Source organism: Homo sapiens, chromosome 8 (assembly GCF_000001405.40).
Source record: "Homo sapiens chromosome 8, GRCh38.p14 Primary Assembly".
Taxonomy (NCBI): Eukaryota; Metazoa; Chordata; class Mammalia; order Primates; family Hominidae; genus Homo; species Homo sapiens.
In genome coordinates, this window is record NC_000008.11 from 47,019,970 (window position 1) to 47,044,868 (window position 24,899).

The 24,899-nt window shown below is 38.0% G+C and overlaps 1 long non-coding RNA gene across 5 annotated transcripts in view; it reads left to right on the plus strand.

The window, feature by feature from the left end:
• Nucleotides 1-24,899, plus strand: part of LOC105375815 (uncharacterized) — an 80,550-nt gene that overhangs the window by 16,327 nt on the left and 39,324 nt on the right. For 3 of the 5 annotated variants that reach the window (XR_928840.2, XR_928844.2, XR_928843.1), the window contains exons 2-4: nt 9,189-9,273; nt 9,708-9,935; nt 10,679-10,948. This is a non-coding gene — a long non-coding RNA (uncharacterized LOC105375815). Of the gene's footprint in view, nt 1-9,188; nt 9,274-9,707; nt 9,936-10,678; nt 10,949-21,137; nt 21,220-24,899 lie in introns of those variants that run through there. The other 2 variants (XR_928842.3, XR_928841.3) reach the window with 2 other exon arrangements.

Genomic DNA, 24,899 nt, shown 5'->3' on the forward strand with positions numbered 1-24,899 from the left:
GATCAACTGGAAGAAAGGGTATCAGCGATGGAAGATGAAATGAATGAAATGAAGCAAGAAGGGAAGTTTAGAGAAAAAAGAATAAAAAGAAACGAGCAAAGCCTCCAAGAAATATGGGACTATGTGAAAAGACCAAATCTACGTCTCATTGGTGTACCTGAAAGTGACGGGGAGAATGGAACCAAGTTGGAAAACACTCTGCAGGATATTATCCAGGAGAACTTCCCCAATCTAGCAAGGCAGGCCAACGTTCAGATTCAGGAAATACAGAGAACGCCACAAAGATACTCCTCGAGAAGAGCAACTCCAAGACATATAATTGTCAGATTCACCAAAGTTGAAATGAAGGAAAAAATGTTAAGTGCAGCCACAGAGAAAGGTTGGGTTACCCACAAAGGGAAGCCCATCAGACTAACAGCAGATCTCTCAGCAGAAACTCTACAAGCCAGAAGAGAGTGGGGGCCAATATTCAACATTCTTAAAGAATTTTCAACCCAGAATTTCATATCCAGCCAAAATAAGCTTCATAAGTGAAGGAGAAATAAAATACTTTACAGACAAGGAAATGCTGAGAGATTTTGTCACCACCAGTCCTGCCCTAAAAGACCTCCTGAAGGAAGCGCTAAACATGGAAAGGAACAACCAGTACCAGCCACTGCAAAATCATGCCAAAATGTAAAGACCATCAAGACTAGGAAGAAACCGCATCAACTAATGAGCAAAATAACCAGCTAACATCATAATGACAGGATAAAATTCACACACAACAATATTAACTTTAAATGTAAATGGACTAAATGCGCCAATTAAAAGACACAGACTGGCAAATTGGATAAAGAGTCAAGACCCATCAGTGTGCTGTATTCAGGAAACCCATCTCATGTGCAGAGACACACATAGGCTCAAAATAAAAGGATGGAGGAAGATCTACCAAGCAAATGGAAAATAAAAAAAGACAGGGGTTGCAATCCTAGTCTCTGATAAAACAGACTTTAAACCAACAAAGATCAAAAGAGAAAAAGAAGGCCATTATTTAATGGTAAAGGGATCAATTCAACAAGAAGAGCTAACTATCCTAAATGTATATGCACCCAATACAGGAGCACCCAGATTCATAAAGCAAGTCCTGAGTGACCTACAAAGAGACTTAGACTCCCACATATTAATAATGGGAGACTTTAACACCCCACTGTCAACATTAGACAGATCAACGAGACAGAAAGTCAACAAGGATACCCAGGAATTGAACTCAGCTCTGCACCAAGACGACCTAATAGACATCTACAGAACTCTCCACCCCAAATCAACAGAATATACATTTTTTTCAGCACCACACCACACCTATTCCAAAATTGACCACATAGTTGGAAGTAAAGCTCTCCTCAGCAAATGTAAAAGAACAGAAATTATAACAAACTCTCTCTCAGACCACAGCACAATCAAACTAGAACTCAGGATTAAGAATCTCACTCAAAACCGCTCAACTACATGGAAACTGAACAACCTGCTCCTGAATGACTACTGGGTACATAACAAAATGAAGGCAGAAATAAAGATGTTCTTTGAAACCAATGAGAACAAAGACACAACATACCAGAATCTCTGGGACGCATTCAAAGCAGTGTGTTAGAAGGAAATTCATAGCACTAAATGCCCACAAGAGAAAGCAGGAAAGATCCAAAATTGACACCTTAACATCACAATTAAAAGAACTAGAAAAGCAAGAGCAAACACATTCGAAAGCTAGCAGAAGGCAAGAAATAACTAAAATCAGAGCAGAACTGAAGGAAATAGAGACAAAAAAAAACCTTCAAAAAATTAACGAATCCAGGAGCTGGTTTTTTGAAAGGATCAACAAAATTGATAGAACACTAGCAAGACTAATAAAGAAAAAAAGAGAGAAGAATCAAATAGATGCAATAAAAAATGATAAAGGGGATATCACCACCAATCCCACAGAAATACAAACTACCATCAGAGAATACCAAAAACACCTCTACGCAAATAAACTAGAAAATCTAGAAGAAATGGATAAATTCCTCGACACATACACTCTCCCAAGACTAAACCAGGAAGAAGTTGAATCTCTGAATAGACCAATAACAGGAGCTGAAATTGTGGCAATAATCAATAGCTTACCAATGAAAAAGAGTCCAGGACCAGATGGATTCACAGCCGAATTCTACCAGAGGTACAAGGAGGAACTGGCACCATTCCTTCTGAAACTATTCCTATCAATAGAAAAACAGGGAATCCTCCCTAACTCATTTTATGAGGCCAGCATCATCCTGATACCAAAGCCAGGCAGAGACACAACCAAAAAAGAGAATTTTAGACCAATATCCTTGATGAACATTGATGCAAAAATCCTCAATAAAATACTGGCAAACCGAATCCAGCAACACATCAAAAAGCTTATCCACCATGATCAAGTGGGCTTCATCCCTGGGATGCAAGGCTGGTTCAATATACGCAAATCTATAAGTGTAATCCAGCATACAAACAGAACCAAAGACAAAAACCACATGATTATCTCAATAGATGCAGAAAAGGCCTTTGACAAAATTCAACAACCCTTCATGCTAAAAACTCTCAGTAAATTAGGTATTGATGGGATGTATCTCAAAATAATAAGAGCTATTTATGACAAACCCACAGCCAATATCATACTGAATGGGCAAAAACTGGAAGCATTCCCTTTGAAAACTGGCACAAGACAGGGATGCCCTCTCTCACCACTCCTATTCAACACAGTGTTGGAAGTTCTGGCCAGGGCAATTAGGCAGGAGAAGGAAATAAAGGGTATTCAATTAGGAAAAGAGGAAGTCAAATTGTCCCTGTTTGCAGACGACACGATTGTATACCTAGATAACCCCATTGTGTCAGCCCAAAATCTCCTTAAGCTGATAAGCAACTTCAGCAAAGTCTCAGGATACAAAATCAATTTGCAAAAATCACAAGTATTCCTATACACCAACAACAGACAAACAGAGAGCCAAATCATGAGTGAACTCCCATTCACAACTGCTTCAAAGAGAATAAAATACCTAGGAATCCAACTTACAAGGGATGTGAAGGACCTCTTCAAGGAGAACTACAAACCACTGCTCAATGAAATGAAAGAGGATGCAAACAAATGGAAGAACATTCCATGCTCATGGATAGGAAGAATCAATATCATGAAAATGGCCATAATGCCCAAGGTAATTTATAGATTCAATGCCGTCCCCATCAAGCTACCAATGACTTTCTTCACAGAATTGCAAAAAACTACTTTAAAGTTCATATGGAACCAAAAAAGAGCCTGCATCACCAAGTCAGTCCTGAGCCAAAAGAACAAAGCTGGAGGCATCACACTACCTGACTTCAAACTATACCACAAGGCTACAGTAACCAAAACAGCATGGTACTGGTACCAAAACAGAGATATAGATCAATGGAACAGAACAGAGCCCTCAGAAATAATGCCGCATATCTACAACTATCTGATCTTTGAGAAACCTGAGAAAAACAAGCAATGGGGAAAGGATTCCCTATTTAATAAATGGTGCTGGGCAAACTGGCTAGCCGTATGTAGAAAGCTGAAACTGGATCCCTTCCTTACACCTTATACAAAAATTAATTCAAGATGGATTAAAGACTTAAATGTTAGACCTAAAACCATAAAAACCCTAGAAGAAAACCTAGGCATTACCATTCAGGACATAGGCATGGGCAAGGACTTCATGTCTAAAACACCAAAAGCAATGGCAACAAAAGACAAAATTGACAAACGGGATCTAATTAAACTAAAGAGCTTCTGCACAGCAAAAGAAACTACCATCAGAGTGAACAGGCAACCTACAAAATGGGAGAAAATTTTTGCAACCTGCTCATCTGACAAAGGGCTAATATGCAGAATCTACAATGAACTCCAACAAATTTACAAGAAAAAAACAAACAACCCCATCAAAAGGTGGGCAAAGGACATAACAGACACTTCTCAAAAGAGGACATTTATGCAGCCAAAAAACACATAAAAAATGCTCACCATCACTGGCCATCAGAGAAATGCAAATCAAAACCACAGTGAGATACCATTTCACACCAGTTAGAATGGCAATCATTAAAAAGTCAGGAAACAACAGGTGCTGGAGAGGATGTGGAGAAATAGGAACACTTTTACACTGTTGGTGGGACTGTAATCTAGTTCAACCATTGTGGAAGTCAGTGTGGTGATTCCTCAGGGATCTAGAACTAGACATACCATTTGACCCAGCCATCCCATTACTGGGTATATACCCAAAGGACTATAAATCATGCTGCTATAAAGACACATGTACACGTATGTTTTTTGCGGCATTATTCACAATAGCAAAGACTTGGAACCAACCCAAATGTCCAACAATGATAGACTGGATTAAGAAAATGTGGCACATATACACCATGGAATACTATGCAGCCATAAAAAATGATGAGTTCATGTCCTTTGTAGGGACATGGATGAAATTGGAAACCATCATTCTAAGTAAACTATCGCAAGGACAAAAAACCAAACACCGCATATTCTCACTCATAGGTGGGAATTGAACTATGAGAACACTTGGACTAAGGAAGGGGAACATCACACTCTGGGACTGTTGTGGGGTCGGGAGAGGGGGGAGGGATAGCATTGGGAGATATACCTAATGCTAGATGATGAGTTAGTGGGTGCAGCGCACCAGCATGGCACATGTATACATATGTAACTAACCTGCACATTGTGCACGTGTACCCTAAAACTTAAAGTATAATAAAAAAAAAATTAACCAACATTAGATGTGAAGAGATCTTAAATATCACCTAGCCCTGCTCCCTCATTACATAGGCAACAAAACTTGGGCCCAAGGGAAAAAATATGTCGTAATTTCTAACCAAGAAAAATTTGCAAATGTGATGGCAATAGGCCAATTGCAGAAATGTGCTCAATGCCAAAGGACCAATGGCCTAACAGAGTTATTGTCTATCATAATAAATCTAATGAAAATATGTAATCATGTTATATTATATTATATTATATATTGATCACAACAAGTAATAGTACTGATGAACAACACTCTAATAAAAATGGCAGTCAAATTAGGAAGCCCTTGGTTATGTGTGAGAGGGGAAAATCTTTGATAGAATGATTAGTAATTATGATTATAGAAAACATTTCTAATATGGTAACAAATTAATTAAAAATTAATGTGTTTATTTTAACAAATTATAAAATGACTTTTACGATTCATTTCAGAAAATAAGCACCACTAATTTTGGTGATTGACTAAGATGAAGGAGCTTAGGATTGATAATGTCTTCTCAATAAGAAATTACAGCTAACCGATAGGGCATTATAATATAGGAGTCAATCAGGAAACTGCAACATTTACCAGAGAAATAAAACCATGAGATGTAATTTATAACAATATTTCAATTTATGCCACAAATAATAATACCAGATTCTGTTTGACAGCTTACAGAAAATGATCTGAAAAGAAATTTATAGTTTTAATACATCTTTAAATATAAATATATTTTCTTATTAATAGTATTCATTAGTGTACTCTGTATGGTATTTAATATGAGATATTATGAAGAATACTATTAATATATTCAACTAATACTTCTTTCCTTCATGAGAAATATTCTTTATCTTGTCTCTAACCCCTATTTATAAAACCAAACTCATCCACATCATCTCCAACCAACTCCTCCTCCAAACTTCCATAATGTTACTGAAGATTTAGCTTTATCTCAGACTATTCAAGTGCAGTCACTTGGAGTCATCTTTTATTTTTCCTTTATCTGTATTGCGTAAGTATTGAAGAGTCTATCTCCAAATTTTTCTGTTATGTTTATCCTTTTGATTTTTACACTAATTTAGACCCAATTACTTCTAATGTCTTATCCTGTATCCGTTCCTTCTATACTTCCTTCTTTTCTCAGAGTCATATGCTTGAAAAGTCAGAAAGCTCTAGGGGCCACATAATCTCTTTCCAAGTGAGAAAATCCACACAAATCTATGGAGTACCTACTGAACATCAGGCATTTACTAGGTTTAGAGATCTATAGTGGGCCATAGGAATTGCTTTACTCAACTCCAGTACATCTCTCTTTATGCAACTCAACCACTCTCCTTTCACTCTTTGTCTCTTTGTACTTTTGCTAATGACTTCTGCTAATGTACTTCTCTCTGACTTCTGAGTCATTTGCTCAATACTTTTTCCACATTTCAAGTTTCATTTCCTGATATTATCTCGCTGGCCTGGTCATTATTTTTCCCCCTTGCTCAGAGTTTTGCACCAGCCTTCCTTGCAGACAACTGCTTAGCACATAGACCAGCTGCCCTTAGGTCAAATGGCTGCTGGTTTCATGCCCTATGAAAAGAGAAGGGGGTTGCAAAGCTTAGAAGATGGTCTCCTATGCTTATTGAATTGCTTTAATAAATATTTTATTAGATCAATTTCCTTCATTGTACAAAGAGTATGTTTAATAAGGTACCCACTTTCATAACAGAAAAATGATAGTATCACTAAATCTAGAGAAGAAGCAAGTTGCAACATGTTAATTTTGGGGTATTTGGGGGTATTTGAGATGAGACACCTGTTAAGTAGTTGGAAACATGGATGTAGATCTTAGGAGACGGGTTTAGTCATTCAAACTAGAGAAACACATTTGAGAGTTATCAGGATGTATGTTGATGGCATCACACATAAAGGAGATTAGTCTACGTGACCATAGAGAATGTCTTGAATGTTGGGTCAAGGATAAAACTCAGGGAACATCAGAAGAACAACTCAGTAAGAAGATTGAAAGAGTCAGTCAGAGGAGTATGAGAAAATCAAAATTTATGTTTACCATGAGAGTGCAGGAGTTTCCAACCTATATTTCTATCTTCTTTTTCCTGTTCCATATATATAAATATATGTATATATTCCAATGTTTTAGTCAGTTAGACCTCCAACTCTTACCTAATAATTTCTCATGCTTCATACAACCTATTCTTTCCTTGTGCTCACAATTCTCTTCTTCAAATCTCTACCTATCAAAATTAATTTTATCTTTCAAGATACATTCTGTATATTTTTTTAGTTTATTTTACATTTTTAACATACACACATTTATATACTTTTCTCCTCCTTTTACTGGATTTTAGGCTTTTGAGAACCTAGATAGTGTTTTTCTTATTGCATCTCTTCTGATGGTACTTATAAGGCATATGAGAAATAAAGTTTTTATTCTAGCAGTGTCATTGATTCTGCCTACATCACTATTTGCTTCTCCTGCCATTTTGCTTTCCTCTTACTGGCCTGACTCCCAGCAGGAAAAAAAAAATATATTTGAAATGTAAACATATTAGCACTTTTTCCGGAAAGAGATAGTAAAAGAAAAAAATTACAAAAAGAAAAACAGGGTTCTTAGGCTGATGTTTGACAGTAATAGAAGAGGTGGTATTTTGTTTTCTCATATACATTAAATTGCTGTAAGATTTGGCAAGAACAATAAAAAATTTCCAAGCTCCTTCTAAAAAAAAAAATTATCCATAAAAAAGAACACAAGTGTAGGATGAAGAACTGAATACCTGTGATATTACTAATGGAAAGATTCAATGTCTCTTTTGGTTTACACAGCCATGGAAGTAGGTGGTGTCTAGATTTCTTTTGACTACATTCTATGCAACATGTAAGAGGGAAGTAATCATGATATAAAGAGAGTAAGGATCTTCACGAGTTGTATTTATTAAGATGGGAATGAAATATTATAATAGTTGGCCTTTGCAATCAACAGGAAAACATGAGTTACTCAATGAAAATATTGGGGCAATCTGCTAATAATTAAGTACATTCCAAAATATTTATTACAGAACAAATTTCACAAGATTAAAGATTACATTTTTAAATCAAGCTATAGAAACACAAAAGTAAACACAGATATTTGTATATCCTTGCAATGGAAACTGATTTTCTAAATATTTGTATAACCTTGCAATGAAAACTGATTTTCTAAATACTGATAAAAGGAAAGCAGAAACCATGAGTGAAAGACTGATTGACTCTATCACTTTAAACTCACAGAGCCTTGTCATGCCATACTTCAGGACTAATTGATGGCTTGTCAATCTCATCTTTTTCCAAATGAAAGAAAATATGTTTCATGGCAAATTTTCAATAGTCTCCTTGAAGATCATTGAAAGGTCTCCTGGAATAATTGAATCTCAGCTTAGCAAGGCCCAGTGATAGGGGTTGAGGACATAGAGAATGGCTCAGAGGGGAGTAAGCAGCCTATCACACTGAATGATGGTAAGAGCTTAAGAAAATGAGGCAGAGACACTGCAATGGATCAAACCACTCAGAAGTAACCAGTGACTTCAGTGAAAGGTATTCAGAATAGGCAGACGATAAATGGGAATGGATTAAGCAGTAAGTGGGAGGTGAGGAAATGGTGCTATGAGCTCAAATAATTTTTCAAAAAGTGTGGAGAAAATACAGAAGGGTAACTGGAGTGCTATGTGAGAACCAAAGTAGTTATTTTTGATGAAAGAGTCTTTAACATGTTTAAAATATAAAAGAAGGAGGCAGTCAGAAATAAAAATTACAAAATTGAGAAGGGATTATTAATAATGTAAGGTACTAGAGAAGGAAGAGGAAAATGGGATCCAAAATACTAGTGGAGGGATTCATTATTGAGAAAATGAGAAATCTCAGGTGGAAATGCTAAAAAGGGAGAGCAGATGCACTGGAAGAAAGTAAAGCATGAGTTGTCCATCAGCACCAGTGGGCTTGAGAATGGTGGGAAGTGATAATCGCGTGGTCTTGAATGATGGGAGGTTGTAGTCAGTAGGCAGAATGCTAATTTTTGTGACTTTGGAGGTGAAGTTGTGGATAATGGCAAGATGCAAGGTGCAATCCTGAGAGTGACTCCCGAGGTGAAGTGAAGGACACTTTGTGTAAGGAAGTTCAGGACCTGAGGGGCTGGCATCATTAATTTTACCAATATTCAGTTGTTGAAACTTCAAATAATGTGAAGATTATGTGTCTGATTTACAGATGCCTGATCTTCAAGGAATATTTTTCTAATGTCCGTAGTTGTTTTTGTAATCGTCTGTCCTATTTTCTAATTGTATGAGATGGAAATTTAAATTTCTAATATTTCAAACTTCTCAGCTATCTCTCCTCCTTACCCACCAGGAATGGATTACTGTCTATCCTACTTCCCCAAAAGAGAATTAACAGCATAGAAATTATGCCTAAAAGCCAGGTATTTATATACCAGGTGAGTATGAAATACTTTCTTGGTATCTGATGCATATTTACTTAGTAAGATAGGACCCCAGCCTTGCTACCAAAGTAAATGTTAAATATGCTTGAGAATGCTGTCCAAAACTTGGGTAAGAAGTATCAATGTAAGGCTATAATAAACCAAATTTGATTCTCTCAAAAGTAAAAGTAATAGGATTTTCATAACAGGAGAGAAACATATCACTAGTCTATTTCTCAAGACCAAAGAAAAGTATGCTCACTGTGTCAATCAATATAATGGCCTTGATCTTTAAAGAAAGTTCAATTGGAAATGCTAAAATCATGCATATAAGTAAACTTCACAGTACACTGTTGAGCTAGCTCTATAATAGGTTTCAATACTTGGCATCAAGATTTTTTTTTACCCAGAACTCCTTTCTTCTTATATTCTTCTCCACATCTTCCCAGGTGCTCGCTATAGAAGACTCAGTATACTTGGCAAGAAGGAAATTAATGAAAGTCAAAAATTAGCTACATCTAGAGATTTCACTATCAGCAAAATTATATGACCACATATTAGTATTATGAGCAAGCATCCTCAGACCCAACTGTGAGCATGAGCACAGTAATTTTAGTCCCAAGATTTCTGTTGAATGCCTCCATTTCAGGCTTTCGAGCAACCAATGTATGCAATAGGTAAACAGAAATCCAGTCATATTTGGAGAGAGAGAAGGGAGGAAGAAGGAGAGAAAGGAGAGGTGGGGTGGGGGGAGAGAGGGAGGGAGGGGGGAGGGGGGAGAGACAGAGAGAGACATACACAGAGAGAGAGAGAGAGAGAGAGATCTTTCTGAGGTCAAACTGCCCACCCTAAAGCTTAGCCATAGGAGTATAAATGAAATGAAATACAGATGGGAACAACAGGTCAGGCATGCAATTAGCCCAACTGAGACTTAAGTTGAAGATCTGTAGACTGTAGATCTAGTCCTTATCTATAATTATTATGTGGTACACTTTCACTGCACTAAGTAGGGGAGTTCTTACTGCAGCTAGAACATTGGCCTGAGGCAATGCTGCAGTCCAGATACTTTCAAGGAAGATGTAACGAGCAAGGGTTACATTTTAAATATGCCCAAAGATCTTTTCTTTTGACAAGCACACTACATGTGGGCCATGTGATTCTTACGGAGCTGTCAGTCAAGTGGGCATGTAATCCAGACCAATCAATTAAGGTCCTTTACAGGAATATTAGAAAAGACTGATGACTTTTCACCGCATCGACAGATGGTAGCTGGGGGTTGGGGGGAGTGGAATGAAAAAAACAGGGAAAAGAAGAGCAAAGAGTGGAGCAACTATATGTGATTGAAGCCATTCCAACCTGAAATTTTTAAATTTTACAAGTTAATAAATTCCCTTTTCCTTATGCTGGTTTCCTAATACAGAGGAGGAAAGTAGGTGACAAAGAGAGAGTGAGCAGAGGCAACTCTCACGGCTGTGATTAGAAAACAGCATTTATGACAGGAGTCAGCTGGTTCCCAACTCATTTCCTTCATTCATCATCTGAAGGCCCAAGACGGTCTGCCAAACCAGAATATGTTCACAGAATCAGACCACAGCTGAGAAGTCAGTGGAATTGTCTTCTATATTTTTGTTTCTACCTTGGGCATACTTGAGCCTTGGAGATGGAGGCTGCAGTAAGCAGACATCCCGCAACTGCACTCCAGCCTGGGGGACAGGAGTGAGATCCTCTCTCAAAAACAAAACAAATAAACAAACAAAAAACACCAAAAAATGCAAAACTTTGCAAGCTAAGGAATATATAATAAAGGAATGATGATGACCCTTATACACATTTAGACAGCATGTCTCCTCTTCTAAGCCTTTTGAAAAAATTACAGGTAATATTTGATATTTCTTATCCTCAATCAGACATTATCTAAATTGATCCACACACATTCTCATTAACCCAATCATACTTAGTTTAGAACTACTCATACTTCACTTGAATAGCACTCCACTCTATGAGGCATGGACCATTACATGCCCACATTTTATAGTAATCCCAGTAAATAACATTTCACATATGCAGCCTTCACTTTACATGGCACAAGCTATTAGTTTTACTCTAATCCAGAGAAAAGAAAACTCAGGCTGGGCTGGTGGCTCAAGCCTGTAATCCCAGCACTTTGGGCGGCCAAGGCAGGCACATCACGAGGTCAGGAGTTGGAGACCAGTCTGGCCAACATGCTGAAATCCTGTTTCTACTAAAAATACAAAAATTAGCTGGTTGTGGTGGCGGGTGCCTGTAATCCCAGCTACTCGGGAGGCTGAGGCAGGAGAATCGCTTGAAACTGGAAGGAAGAGGTTGCAGTGAGCTGAGATCACGCCATTGCACTCCAACCTGGGTGAAAGAGTAAAATTCCATCTCAAAAAAAAAAAAAACAGAAAGCTCATAGATGAACACACACTGTTCTCTGTCAGATTATTTTTGAATGTGTAGTGAACAGCTAATGTTGTTCCCAAATATCTCTATGAAATGAATGGAAGAATTTTTAAAAAGGCTTAACATGAGACAGATAAGGAGATACAATTTGATATCAAAGCGATACTTTCAGCAGTAGCTTTCCCATAGGGGCTATAATATTGGCATGAACCACCATGTGTAACAATATTTTAAGAGCTATGATTAGGCAGGCTGGTTAGGAATTCTTTGTCAGAATAGGCAAATGTTTACAGGTTCTGAAAAGCAGATTGCTGGTACCATCTACCTTAAGTTTCAAATCTTTGTTACTTCTTTATTCATTTTTTCCAATATCTATTGAGATAGGGGTTGGTGAATTCTTATCCATTCTGCCATTCTGTATCTTTCAAGTGGAGCATTTAGGCCATTTACATTCAACATTAGTAATGAGATGTGAAGTACTATTCTATTCATCGTGCTATTTGTTGCCTGAATACCTTGTTTTGTTTTTTCATTGTGTTATTGTTATATAGGTCCTGTGAGATTTATGCTTTAAGGAGATTCTATTTTGGTGTATTTTGAGGATTTGTTTCAAGATTTAGAGCTCCGTTTAGCCGTTCTTGTAGTGACAGCTTGGTAGTGGTGAATCCTCTCACATTTGTTTGTCTGAAATAGATGGTATCTTTCCTTCATTTATGAAGCTTAGTTTTGCTGGATACAAACTTCTTGGCTGATAATTGTTTTGTTTAAAGAGGCTAAAGATAAGACCTCAATTCCTTCTAGTGTGTAGGGTTTCTGCTGAGAAATGTGCTGTTACTCTGATAGGTTTTCCTTTATAGGTTACCTCATGCTTTTGCCTCACAACTCTTAAGATTCTTTCCATCATCTCGACTTTAAATAACCTGATGACAGTGTGCCTAGGTGATGATCTTATTGCGATTAATTTCCTATATGTTCTTTGAGCTTTTTGTATTTGTATGTCTATATCTCCAGCAAGACTGGGGAAGTTTTCATTAATTATTCCCTCAAATATTCTTTCCAGACTTTTAGATTCTCTTCTTCCCTGGGAACACCAATTATTCTTAGGTTTGGATCCTTAACATAGTCCCAAGCTTCTTGGAGGTTTTGTTCAGTTTTTAAAATTCTTTTTTGTCTTTGATGGATTGGGTTAATTCACAAACCTTGTCTTTGAGTTCTAAAGTTCTTTCTTCTGCTTGTCTGACTCTACTGCTGAGACTTCCCAAGGCATTTTGCATTTCTCTAAGTGTGTCCTTGATTTCAAGAAGTTGCGATCATTTTTTATTTGTGCTATTTCACTGAAGATTTTTCCTTTCATATCCTGTATCATGTTTTTAATTTAAGTTAGAGTTCACCTTTCTCTGGTGCTTCCTTTATTAGCTTAATAATCAACCTTTGAATTCTTTTTCTGGCAATTCAGAGATTTCATCTTGGTTTGGATCCATTGCTAGTGAGCTGATGTGATCTTTTGGGGGTGTTAAAGAACCTTGTTTTGTCCTATTACCAAAAGTGTTGTTCTCATTTGGGTAGACTATGTCAGAGGGAAGATCTGGGAACTCAAAGGCTGCTGTTCAGATTCTTTTGTCCCATGGGGTGCTCCCTTGATGTGCTGTTCTCCCCCTTCCTCTAGGAATGGGGCTGCCTAAGAGCCAAACCACAGTGATTGTTTTTGGTCTTCTGGGGTTAGCCACCCAGTGGAGCTACTGGGCTCTGGGCTGGTACTGGGGAGTGTCTGCAAAGAGTCCTGTGATGTGATTCATCTTCAGGTCTCTCAGATGTGGATACCAGCATCTGCTCCAGTGGAGGTAGAATGACAAGTGAAGTGGACTCTGTGAGGGTCCTTGGTTGTGTTTTTTAGTGTGGGGGTTTTGTGTTGGTTGGCCTCCAGCTAGGAGGTGGCACTTTCATGACTGCATCAGCTGCAGTACTATAGGGAGAAAGTAAACTTGCCCTAGGGTCACCTGGGCAAAACCTAAGTATTCAGGTTTTTCAGGTGGTGGGCAGGGCCATAGAGCTCCCAAGAGATTATGACCTTTGTCTTTGACTACCAGGGTGGGTAGAGAAAGACCACCAGGAATGCCAGCAGTCACAGGCCTCGTGCCATTCCCACCCAGCCCCTAAGACCAGTCTGACTCCCACAATGCCCTCCACAGCTAGTGAGCAGGGCAAGAACTTGCCCTAGACCACCAGTCACTGCACTGAGAAAGTAACAGACACAGTTTTCCACCACCTCGGGGAGGCTGTAGCAGCAATCCAGTTTCTTCAAAGGGTCTGTGAATTCTCTCAGCTTTCCTGCTATGTTGCTGTGGTAGATCTTGAAGCAAAAGTTCATAATGTGAGTCTCCACATGCTGCTGTATCCAAGTGGGAGCTGCAAGCTAGTCCTGCCTCCTGTACACCATCTTAATCCTCTGTCCAAAGTTTTTAAAATAGTCATTCAAAAAATAATGTGGTAAGAAGTCGAAAGAGCCCCTGTGAACCCAGCACTCTTTATGCTTAGGCTCAGGAATATATAAAACTTTTCTACAGTAAGATCCTTTTGCCCCATCAATTCTCATATAACTCCCCTCACCCAATTTTAACTTGGAGATTGTTCCTCCTTCAATCTAGTGTATGTGTTTTGGGTGAGCTCTACCCCTGCTCCAAAGGTGCACAACATGTGTCACGTGCAAGCCAGTAAGCATATTATATTCCCCTGGCCTTGGTGCTTGTGGACACAGAGTGATTCCCCTGCAAGTAAAAGGGCTCACTGTTTCCCACTGGGCTTCACTCTTGTGCTCATCTGAGCCTAAAACTGCTGCAGTCATCTTCTCATCAAGCAAAGAGAGCCTAGGAATTTTATAAGTTATATGGAGAACTTTCATATGAAGCCAATGCAGTGGGAGGCAGACAGGAGAAGCAGAGAAAGAAAGGAAGGGAAGAAGGGAGGAAGGGAGGAAGGAAGGGAGGAAGGGAGGGAAGGAGGGAGGGAGGAAGGAAAGAAGAAAAGGGAAAGACCTCTGTTTGAGTCCAGAATCCAGCTTTACAAGAAGCTAGGCTACCAGTAGACATTTTGAGTTGAATGGGAAAATAAATGTCATCTTTGCCTCCAGTCCTTTGGTATAGGCATTCTAACACTTGTAGACTAATATAGAAAAAAAAATTAACTCTAACAGACATGTTTAATCTGATGCCATCACATCATTTCCAGGTCCTACTCAAAACTTATGAGAGTTTAGAGCCTCAGAGCTATAAAACCAACATAGAAGGATTTCACAATCTCAAGTCACTTTAAAACCAACATCATAGAAAATGTGATCATGGAAATGTTTAGCCAAATTCTATTTTGTGGGCATTTTGGGAAATGCAAATTCCATTTCTAACATAATAGAAAATTAGTAATTAGATACAATCTGCATTGTGAACAAAATTACTAAACATTCTACCTTATAATCATTAGAGCCCTGATATAAGCAATGAAAATTAGAAATCTTATTCCCCCTATGGATTCTTGTTTAGTGCAGTAATACTAGTTTTATATTCCATGAGTCCATATTTGAGGAAAGGTTGTAACCATACCTCCCCTAACAGTTTAAAATCTTGAAAAAAATATGTAAAAGAACAATGTGTTAAAATTTTAAAATGGGAAATTAGTGTCATCTTGTATTTTGAAGATGTAAAAGTAAAAACTTTTTTTTTAAAGTAAAAACTTTATCTCCCCTTCTTCATATGTTAAAGAATCATTGACTAAATCAGGCCCACTTTATTTCCTTTGGTGTTCTGAAATCATCAAGTAAACCCTCTTTATTCCTCCTTTAGAATGTTGTTAAAGTGTAAACTCCTTCCCTTGACAGTCAGGCTCAATGCTGTTTCAGCCAGGAAATTCTAATTTCTTGAAAAAATCATATCCATGATTATACTTTGGTTATTGGATCAAAGTCAGGACTTAATTCTGAACACTAATGTGATATATTCATAAAAAACTTTAGTTTTTAAGCATTAACGTGGTAATCAGCAAATGTCCTTGAGAGATGGCCCAGATATTGGAAACAGCAGTAACCTGACTTTCAAGCATCCATGAAAGTACAGATTGACTTCCAAAAAACACAAAGCTTTAGGAAGAGATGTGAAACATCTTCCCAGAAATTATTGGATTAAAAAAAAAAACCACCCAGATGAATATGAGTCAAAATGTCATCCAAAATGGCTCAAATTTTGTAGAACTTCTACATTAAAGAGTAAATAGGACCAGATTGGAGGAAAATGCCAAGAAGTCATTCATATGCATTATTTCTATGAATACAAAATTGTGTCACAGAAAAACAGAAGCAGGCTTTTCTCTGCAGTATACAGTCTGGTAAGTCCATGGGCAGATAAGCTCATGAAAATTAGATGAATTTCCTCCAAAACAATGTTTGTGTGACTTGTATTTATACTTTCAGTCTAAACTAAAGTAGTAATTTTTAAGTTAATAACATGCCTCAATATTTAATAAAAAATTCTTACTCGTAAGAATAAACATACAAATTTGTACTACTTGCTTGGCAGTTATTGGTAGAAAAGATAAAAATGAAAATGGTATAGGACTTGGAGGATGACTATGTAGTTGGCCACAGCAAGTGGAAAGAGAAAGATGAAGAATGAGAGTGAGGTGGGAGGAGAGCAAGTGAAAGAGAAAGACCAAGAGGCATTATACAAGCACAGGGTGAAATCGTGTGCCTTAGGTTATAGCTGGCTGAACAGAATAAAAGAGTAGTAACAATAAAAGCCAACATTTGTTGGATACTCATCATATGCGTGGTGGAATGTTAAGTGCTGATTATGTGATTATGTAACATTTCATTTAATCCTCTTTGAAAAAAGAAAAAAATATGCAGTTTCCCTACAACTACTAAAATTTGATACCTAGATGAGATTTTTTCAGATTTTCTTCCTGCAACTAAATGTCTAGAGATAACTTTTAATATACATGGCATTCTTTTTCAGTACCTACCATGGTGCCAATTCATTGACCAAATAAACATGCTAGACATTTTTAAAGGAGAAGCTGAAACATTCTAAAAAACTAGAATACTATAGAACAAAATGGCCAGGTAACTGCAGATTCTTCAAACTTCTTTTCCCTTTAAGTGAGTTATGCAATCTAAAAATTAAAAAAATAAAAAAATAAAAAAACATGAAGAGCATGTCTTCCACACTGAGGCTACAAACAGGTCTAACCTTATGCCACAAACCTTGCCCCAAATTAAAATAAAATCTCTGCAATGTACTAGTTATTCATTTTCCAGAGACAAGTATGCAAAGTAGCAGCAAGTGAGGGAAATTCTGGAAAGCCTCAGTACAGACAGTTCAGAGGGCATAAAAAGCATACTTGATTTCCAGCCTCTTTCCCAGGGCCTATGCTCGAAGAGCTGCCAAACTAAGTCTTTACTTTGATCTAAGAAAAAAACACAAAAGGGCCAAAGTCTGATCACCACTTTTTCACACCTGGCAATGGAAGCAGCAAACAAGATTCAGCTAAAAGACAAAAATCATAAACTTTTTTTTTTAACATTTCAATGTTTATAGGACCAAGCTGCTTAAAAAATCTAGAGCAAAATAAACTTTCCATGTTTCAGATGAAGACTAAGTGCTAACATAATGATCACTTTCTGTACTTTTGCCATTACCTTTGAATAAAAAAATTATTTTTTGTTACACTTTTAAAAACTTTAGTCTAAGCGTGTTTCTGTAATTATTTAAATGTCCTCTAAGATTACTCCACGAGGCATCATTAGAACAGAATGTATCATATATACATTCACCATAATAAAGAAATGTTTGTTATAAGAAAATAACTGCCATTCCATACTCTTTTGTGGATCTTCCTGGGATTTCCTGGGATATTTCTTTCTACTGAAAGAATTTAGTTTTGCTCTTGGCTTTGAAATGAAACCGAATGGTATGTTAATTGAAAGATCTTAATGACCATTCTGAATTTAAAGCTGAAATTTCACTTCTGTTCTGTTTCCTATCTTAAATTGTATCCAGCCATATTGCCTAGTATAGCCTCTCAAAGCTTCTGCAATGAGGTTCAATGACCATAAAATAGTTCAATAATCATATGCCAACATTTATTGATACTCCAAAATTAAATATAATTTCCCTCTCATTAATAATTTCCCAATAGATATAATTAAATTCAAAGATTAAAATCTTTCCAAAAAATCCAAATTCTTACCTTAAAATCCGTAAAAGCTAAAGTCTGAAAAATTCCTGCTGTCTTTGTTGAGCAGTATGAATCCAAAGAAAGTAAAGCCTCAAATCCCAACTTAAATTCCAAACGTATTCTCTCCAACTTCTCATTCTGTTCAGTTTCAGTTAGATGAATTCTCTATATCTGCATTTCTTTCAGCAGCTACAGCCTGACTCTTTCTTGGGAATGGGTGCAGTTCTTTCAGGGCCTCAGAAATTGTGTTTGTTCGCTCCTAAGTCAACTCAGGAGCCTCACTTTTAAGGATCCAAAGCATTAATAGAGAATACAAAAGTGCACATCATGGTTTTCCAAACCCGCACGTTTTAGAAAATAAAGCAATCCCCATTTACTAGCAATGTTATCCTAAACATAATTATATTCTAGAATCCAGTACATACTGTTGTCAAAGGTCATTATAGAAACTCAAACGTGTCTGAAAAAGAAATACTAGTTTCAACTTTACTAAACTGCTGATCAGCCCATCCCTGTATGATAAAAACCCTTAACAAAGTAGGCATCAAAGAAACATACCTCAAAATATGAAGAGCCATCTGTGACAGACCTGAGGCTGACATCATACTGAAGGGGAAAATTTAGAAACCTTCCCTCTTGGCACTGGAATAAGACAAGGATGTCCACTTACACCACTCCTATTCAACATAGTACTAGGAATCCTAACCACAGCAATCAGCCAAGAGAAAGAAATAAAAGGCATCCAAATAGAAAAAGAAGAAGTCACACTATCTCTCTTCACTGAAAATATAATTCTATACCTAGAAAACCCCAAGGATTCCTCCAAAAGACTCCTAGATTTGATAAATGATGTGGTAAAGTTTCAGGATACAAAATCTACATATAAATATCAGTATTATTTCCATATACAATCAACATTCAAGCTGAGAACCAAATCAAGAATGCAATCTCACTTATAGTGAAAACAAAAAGAAAACAAACAAAAACCTAGGAATACATCTTCCCAAGGAGATAAAAGAACTCTATAGGAGATGCTTGTCTGGGGTACATGAGAATTACCCTAAAAATCTATTAGAGTTGGATAGAAATGTTCATAGCAGCATTATGCATAATTGCTAAAATCCTGAAGCAACTTAATGCCCATCAACTGATGAATTAATGAACAAAATGTGGTATATTTCCAAAACATGTTCAGACATAAAAAGGAATAAGTATTGCTACATGATATAATATAGATGAATCTTGAAAACACTGTGCTAATGGAAAGAAGCCAGTCACAAAAGGCTACAATATGGCTTGATTCCACTGACATGAATTATCCAAACTGCGTAAATTTGTAGAGACAAAAACTAGATTTCTGGTTGTCAGGAGATGAGAGAAGGGAAGAATTGGGACTCACTGCTAATCAGTAAAGGGTTTCTTTTTGGGGTGGCAGAGATAATCAAGAGTGAGACACTAGTGATGGTCACAATACATAGTTAATATACTAAAAATCACTGAATTATATGCTTTTAAACAGTGGATTTTATGTTATATAGATTATATCACAATAAAAAATAAATTGAGAGAAACCTCTCATAAGAGATTAAATTTGACTCTATGGGATTCATCCTAACTGTGGGACCAGAGTGGGTTAAGGGCTGAGATTCACTTATCTTCTTTCTGAGTTATTGTCATCTGAGATATTCCTGGCCTTTTAATCTCTAAAATTTGCAGTGGAAGCATCCCCCACCTCACCCACTGGGCATCAGGTCCTAAGAAGTTCTTCTGATTCAGTATTTTCTCAGCCTTTTAGTCTCAACTTCCCCACTGAGTGCCATTCTAATGCTATAGTAAGTGTGGACCTAGCCATGTAGCCAACACTGTATCCTAGGAGCTGATAGTTTTGGTCCTGAGACACAATGGCTGCTGTCACTCACTACAGAATTGCTTAGGCCTGTGAAACCTGGCTCCCAGTGAAGATTCTCCTGCCCCTCAGTCCCCAGAACTTTTCCAGCTGGAGAGCAATTCTCGGGAATTTCCCATTCCCGAGAAAGAGTCAGGCTGTAGCTGCTGAAAGAAATGCAGATATAGAGAATTCATCTAACTGAAACTGAACAGAATGAGAAGTTGGAGAGAATAAGTTTGGAATTTAAGTTGGGATTTGAGGCTTTACTTTCTTTGGATTCATACTGCTCAACAAAGACAGCAGGAATTTTTCAGACTTTAGCTTTTATGGACTTTAAGGTAAGAATTTGGATTTCTTATTTAAGCAAGTTCCTTAAATAAAGCTGCTTCTGGTGAACTGCATTCCTTGCAGCCTCATGGAAAAAAATCTCTCATGATTACTCCCCAAGAGATGATGTTTCCTCTGGTTTAGGATGCTACAGGCTCTGAACATTTTCTGTCTGTCATGTCTTTTATGATATACGTCTCAAGTGTTTTCATTTTCTCCACTAGTAGTTTCAGGAAGACTGAGCTGATTAACCTACCTGAGAGGTTTCTTTTCTTCTGCCAAGTAGGATCATGATGTTGGCAGGATCTGAGTTCTTTCTGTTTACGTTTCCATTGCTCTCAGGCCCAGACATTTTACTAGTATATTCTGCTAGATTGTGGTTAATAGAGTTTTCCATGGTGAGATATATGAAAATAGCAGGTTCTGGGTCTGTCGAAAATAGCAGGTTCTGGGTCTGTCAAAAATATCTGCTGTTCAAACATATTTTGTCTACAGTCAAGCTTCCTGGGAAGATGATCCATCCCAGAAGATACCCCTCCATCACCCAACATCTATAATGCGCTCAGTACATATTATAGTTCTTCTGTCCACACCCCTCCAATATAAATGATCTTTTCTGTGCCTTACCTCGAGTCCTAACCAAAAATTGCTTGGGGATGTTTCTTCAGGGAACGGTGTATAATACATCATCACCTTAAGTCACCTCCTTTTTTTTAGTTTTTTATGCTGCTCTGCCCCACGTTTGCCCTCAAATTTGTTCTAATATTGTGTAACCAAGTCATACAGTTGTCTCAATATTTGCTTGGAGAGTTGGTTTCTCCTAACACTTATGAGACAGTTTGCAGCATTTGGACGCACCCTCTCAGAAATTACTCTAGTCTACTGAGATCCTGCCTTGCTTCCTCTCTAAATTTTGTCAGGCTCCAGTTACTCTTTTTGATATAGCAACAGTGAAAGCACAACCCCTTTTCTGAAACCTTCTGAGAACAGGTAGACCATCTACCTTTGTCTCTCCTTACAGGTCTTGTTTCCCCTTTACATCTATTGATCCAAACCAATAAAACCGCAACCTTTCTCATAAGGAAATCCTTTGTTTCCTTCAGGTAAATATTCCTAAATTTCTTTATTCTTGTTATTCTGATGCACTTACTCTTATACTAAGTTTGAAGCATACTCTTAAACCCATGGCTTCCTGAGCAAAGCTGATTCTTGAGACGCAGTCCTCCAAACACAGGCTTCCTAGACTTCGGTGTCATAATAGCTTCATTGAGGTATTTTTTTACGTCAACCCAAAAAGGGGCCATTTTTTATAAGAAGGCTCATGTCTTTTTGCACATTTGTTAATAAAACTCTACTACCCTTCTGTGGGCAAGGATGCCTTTTAGGTCTCAAAATGGTCTAATACCGAGATCACAGTTTATTTTGATTAACAAATCCATGACTAACTTAAAACTACAGTGTGGGGACTGGCTTTTAAAAGCCTATGTGGAAGCCATGTATATCCATGAATTAGCCCATCTTTAGACGCTGAATTCAGCCTAAAATAGTGCAAAAAGTGAATGCCAACCTACATCTGCACACATAACATAAAGCTCACTTACACACTAGTTCTTTAGTTTATACATAAAATTTAGTTGCACTAAATTCCTGGCCTGCAACCCTGGTTGACAAATTGTAAAAGGTGGGGTCAATAATTACCTTGACCTCTCCCAACCCATGATGCTCTTGTACTTAGCATTAGGAGATATACCTAATGTAAATGACGAGTTAATGGGTGCAGCACACCAACATGGCACATATATGCAACCTGCATGTAACAAACCTGCACGTTGTGCACATGTACCCTAGAACTTAAAGTATAATTTAAAAATATATATATATGTGTGTGTGTGTGTGTGTGTCTGTGTGTGAATCTTTCCCTCAGCTGCACTCTTTATGGAGGCCCTACATGCCCATCATCTGCTGATGCTCCATGTTCTTCAAAACAAAACTGTAGCAATTCATATTCTAAATCCAGCCCACACTGGGTGCCATAACCCACCCACCTTTAGCTTAAGACCAACAGCTATAACATTGGCTGCATAAAAACCTGTGGGAAAAGGGGCCATAAATTAAGGGACTCATCGATGTCACATAGCACATTGTCTAAGGCTGAAAGCTGTTTGCCAAAGAACAAGAGAGAATAGGTAAAACAAAACAAAAAACAATCACCATAATCACACTGCACTATATAGGCCACTGCTAACTTCTAAGGCATGGCCACCATGCCTGGCCAAACATTTCTTTAAGAACTGTAAGTAGAACTATCATACAATCCAGCAATCCCACTATTGGGTATTTATCCAAAAGAGAAGAAATCAGTATATCGAAGAGATACCAGCACTCACATGTTTATAGCACTCTTCACAATAGCAAACCTATGAAATCAACCAAAGTGTCAATAAAACATAAAGAAAATGTTGTATATATGCACAGTGGAATGTTTTCAGTCTTTGAAAAGTTAAATGTCATTTACAATGACATGGATGGATCTGGAGGTTATTATGCTAAGTAAAACATGCCAGGCGAGAAAGATAAATATTGTATGTTCTGATTCATTTGTGGGACCTAAAAAAGTTGACCTCATGAAGATAGAAAATAGAATTATAACTACCAGAGGCTGGGAAGGTGTGAGAGTGGAAGGGGGGATGAATAGAGGTTGGTTAATGGAGAAATAAATTCTAATGTTTGATAGCAGAGTGTGGTGACTACAGATAGCACAGTATATTTCAAAGTAGCTAGAAGAGAGGACTTGAAATGTTACCAACACAAAAAAATTATAAATAAGCTGATTGATACTTCAAATACTCATGACTTTATTCTACATTCTACGCATGTAATAAATAATCACATGTACCTCATAAATATGTAAAAGGTCATGAATAAATAAAATAAAAAAGCATTCTCAATACAAGTAAATGAAATCTGAGCAGGTCAGACATTAAACAGGTGTTTTCTGTATGGTGAGGTCTCTATATTTTAAACTTTAAGAATATTTGCCTGAACCAAATCAACTCCTAGCATGATAAAAAAACAAAACATGTTGATGTATATAAGTACAGCCCCTCTATCCCTCTGCTGACAATGTTTATAAATGTATGCATTTAAATAAAAAGTGAAAGACTTCCATGTCCTGGGCAGCTGCAGCAAAGCATAATATTGTTGCCCATCCTTGATGGCTTTGCATCATACCTTGATGCTGTTGCCTGTCAGGCCAGGGAATGAGTGGGGCCCAAGGCACTCTCTTGCTCTCTAAACAGGTTCCACCACCATTGCTGTAGGACTGAGGAACATTCAAGCCACACACCCCATGCTTTCCAGTTCCTCCAAAGACTGCCTGCCTGACCATTCTCACAGGGAGTTGAGACATGTGGCATAGTTGCAGTTGCCCTACCTGAGTGTTCCGTTGGTGGCCTGGAAGCAGTTTACCCCTTCTGATCACAACAGGTGCTAAAGCCTGAGTGGCCAAAGGACAAAACTACTGGGCTTATCCCAGTTCCCCAGGACTCAACACAATCACCCAGGGGCATGGAGATGAGATTTATGATGTGACCTCCAGCAGGGGAGGAATTCCCACTGTCAGAACACAGAGAATACTATGGTATGAATGTATGCTGTGTCATAGTAACTGGGCCCCCACTTTGGTCACGAGACTAAACCTAAAAGGGTGTGGTCACAGAGCCACAGTTTCTGGAACTGTTCAACAATCTGAATGTAGACTGTTTGGGACCACCCTAAACATTCTGGCCTGCTGGCAGCAGGTGGACTCTGGAGGGAGACCTGCCAGGTCAGGGGTGTGGGAGTTGGGCGGATCCCACTGCCACCTGCTATGCTGAACACTCTGGGCCACTCTCTTCTTCTTCTCAGTGGGCTCTGTGGTGGAGAGACACCTCTATTCCTCCCTGAAGGGTTGCGCCAGCAGCCTGGGAGCTGTGCCTAGACTGCTGCAACAGCTGGTACTTACGCCTGCCTTGAAGAGCCTGCTCACTGATATACCAACCCATATATGGCTAGCATTGCCCACTCTAGCCACCTTGGCAGCAGAAAACTGGAGAGGGACCCCAGGAGCTCCACAGCCCTGCCCATCACTAAGATACCCTGGCACTTCTCTTGGTTTTAAAAGGCCAGGTAAAAATCTCACTGCCACCACTGAAGCTGCCTCTTTCTGGCAAGTACAGCCTACTGACTTTGATACCAATCTGCAAAAACCATTACAACTTATGCTGACATGACTGCACAGCATTCAGCTAGCTCTTACAAGTGCCACCTACTGGTCTATAGGATGGACGGCAAAATTCAAAATGATTCCTGCTGACAGAGTGCACACTGCTGTGAAAAACTATGAGCCTCCTCCCCATCTCTGCAAAAGACAGCAAGCCTATTCACATGCACAGTACACCACTACTACATACTACAAAAAACCAGCATTTGAGAACACCACTACACAAAGGTTATCTACAACCAAGCAATTTATAGAAAGCTTAGCCCCCTAATAGCACAAAGAAGCAAAGCCAAAGAAATGCTACTTGACATATGAAATAGTCACACCCTTGGGAGGGTAAAATCCCATCTGAACAAAAGTGAATTCAAAAATAATAAATGACAGCTTCTCCAGATTAAAAAAAAAAATCAGAATAAGAACTTTAGCACCATGAAAAACAGAGTGTTATAACACCCATAAGGATCACACTAGTGGTCTAGAAATGGGTCCTAAACAAAATAAAAATTCTGAAATGACAAATAA